Here is a 3,089-nt window from a genome sequence, read left to right on the forward strand (position 1 = left end):
TGGGAAACATAAATAATGGCAGAAATTAGCAGCCAAGTTATCTCAGGTCTATTTTAATTCATATTCAATTGTTTATGGCCATAAGGCAATATCAAGCTACTTTCTAAAGAATCTTGGTGTGTCTCCTAATAACCTATAATTGGATGGTCTACCTTGCAAATTATCTGCAGTGGCTCCAGAATTACTATCCCCATTCACCCCAGGAGCTCTTCAGCTGAGTGGGATCATGTAACCCAACACCTATCAAGAGCAGAGCTTAAAACCGATTCAAAGAAAAGAACAAGATAAAGGAATTGGGGATGGATTAGCATAGAGAAGAGATGCCTGAGGGACTTCTAAATTACTGCTTTCAAATTTTTGATAGTGAAATTATTAACCAGTTGGACAAAAAACAGAAGGGAATTAAAATTAAAATTAGAAAGATTTCACTTTGGCCAAAGGGTATATTTTTTTAAATAACATTCTTCTGTTCATTCACCAAACATTTTTGGAGCCTCCATTTTAGTCTGGGCTATTCCAAGGAGCTGAAGTTTTTCAGTGATGACCAGTCAGGGTCTCAGATTCTAAGGGGCTTAAAACTGGATGGAGCTGGATGTCAAAGTTATAAAATGCCAGGAAAAGGCCATTGAAACTGATTAAAAGTCTCCTTGCATTGTCGAGCTTGATAACATTACTTGCCCCAGAATTATTAGACATCTTTCTGCTGAAAACAGGCACTGAGCCATGCATTCTTTCAGGTCACTCCCAGCTTTGGGAAGCCATTCCTTTTGGAATCTTTAGTCCACTACTTTAGACTCATGTTAACTTCTGAATTTTAGTTTTAAGACTACTTTTTAAGATACTGTTTTTGAGCACATATTCTGTGCCAGTTATTTCAGTAAGCACTTTACACATATTATATATTCTACTTAATTCTCCCTATTACCAGGCAATATTAGTGTCCTCATTTAACAGATGAGATAAGTGAGGCTCCAGTGGCTTAAGTAAATTACAAAGTGAGACAGCAACAGATGTGAGATTTCAATCAGTCTGTTTGACTCCAAAGCTCTTAACCATCTTTCTCTACTGTGTGTCTTTTATCCTTGAAATCATCCCATAAATGAAGGGTTTTGTAGATGGCTGATTAAGACAGCAACTCCTTCCCTAAATATAGGCAGGAACCTAGCCTGGGTATAGGGTATTTCTAGCATAAATAGCAATATCCTGTCCTTTGGGGCCATAAGCCAAAGGACTCCAAGGTTCTGGCACAGGAGGCAGTCCAGTGTACGCAAACACCTGCAGTAACACTCACCAAGTTCAACACCAAATCATAACACAGAAGTTTGCTCTTTTGTAGTTCTGCCCCTGTTCTGACTCCTGGATTCAGAAACAAGCCTCACATCATGAAGTGGGAGTGTTCAGTAAGGATTTGAGCCATAAATGAGGAAAGCATTTAAGTATACAATGGATTGATGCTTCCCTCCCCCACCTTTCACCATCCCTTGTGAATACTGTTCCCTGCTTATCAAGGACATGATGAGTAATTCTGGCTAATTAATTAGCTCCAACTCTTCCTGGCTTTGGGACAGAAACAGTCATTTAACTTTCCTAATCTTCAATTTCCTCATAGATTTATCATGACGACTGCACACCATAATATGGCCATTATGATAAAAGTATACCTTTTAGCATTTATGAAGCACTTCTTGTGTGCTAGGCACTTTATTAAGTGCTTTACCTGCATATGTCACTCAATACTCAAAACAACCCTATGAGGTATGTGCTTCTATCATCCCCACTTTTCATATGAAGAAACCTACAGAGTGGTAGAGCCAAGAGTCAGAACCAGAGTATGTGACTTTTGAGCCCATGTTCTTTTTTTCCCTAAATCAGGGGTCAGACAATTATGGCCCATGGACTAAATACAGCCTGTCACCTGGTTTTGTAAACAAACTTTTATTGAAAACAGCTACATCCATTTATTTACATATGATCTGTGGCTACTTTCACATTATAATGGCAGAGTTGAATAGCTGCAACAGAGACCATGTGGTCCACAAAGCCAAAAATATTTACTATCTGGTCCTTTACAGAAAAAGTTGGCCAATTTTTGCTCTAAACACAATCTTCAATAACTGTCTTCAGCTCTAGTTGACAGGCAGGAAGTCATAAAGTTGATCCGTGATCTCGATGACCACATTGTATTGAGTCACTAAGGCAAGACTCTTGAGGCCTTTAGCAAACTGTTTATTATTAATTTCTAGTGTTGCAGCCCAATTAGTTATTCTTGCCCACTGCATATAAATGCCAATATACTGGGACAGCAGTATTGCAGCAGAGAAAGAGCTTATCACAAGGCAGCCAAGTGGAAGGACAGGAGACATTTCTCAAATCCACCTTCCAGAGAACTCAGAGACTAGAGTTTTTAAGAATAATTTGGCAGGCAAGGGGACTAAGGCGTGGGCACTGCTGATTGATTGGAAATGAAGTCATAGGGGTGTTGAAACTATCTTCATGCACTAAATAAGTTTCTGGGTAGGGGTCACAGGACCATTTGAGTCAGCTCCTTGGTATGAGTCACAGGTCTAGGTGGAGTCAGTCTGTTGCCAGAATGCAAAAGTCTGAAAAATATCTCAAAGACCAATCTTAGGTTTTACAATAGTGATGTTATCGATGGGAGCAATTGGGAAAATTAAAAATATTGTGACCTGCAGCTACAGGACTCCTAGCAGAAAGCAGTTATGAAAAGGCAAGTTATAAAATGCCTATGTTAGATTTTAACTGTGCCTCCATCCTAACAGAATGCAGGCACTTACCATAATTCTAACCTTGTGGCCAATTTGTTGGTTTTACAAAGGCAATTTCAGTCCCCAAGTGAGGAGGGGGTTAGTTTTGGGAAGAGACTGTTACCATCCTTGCTTTAAACTATAAACCAAATTCCTTCCACAGTTAGCTTGGCCTATACCAAGGAATGAGCAAGAACAGTTAGTGTGTGAGTGTGTGAGATTAGAAGTAAGATGGAGTCAGTTATGTGAGATTTCTCTCACTGTCATAATCTTTGCAAAGGCAATTTCACTAGGAAAGGGCAGAGTAAGCAACACTCCTAAATC

Source organism: Homo sapiens, chromosome 20 (assembly GCF_000001405.40).
Source record: "Homo sapiens chromosome 20, GRCh38.p14 Primary Assembly".
NCBI classification, from domain to species: domain Eukaryota; kingdom Metazoa; phylum Chordata; class Mammalia; order Primates; family Hominidae; genus Homo; species Homo sapiens.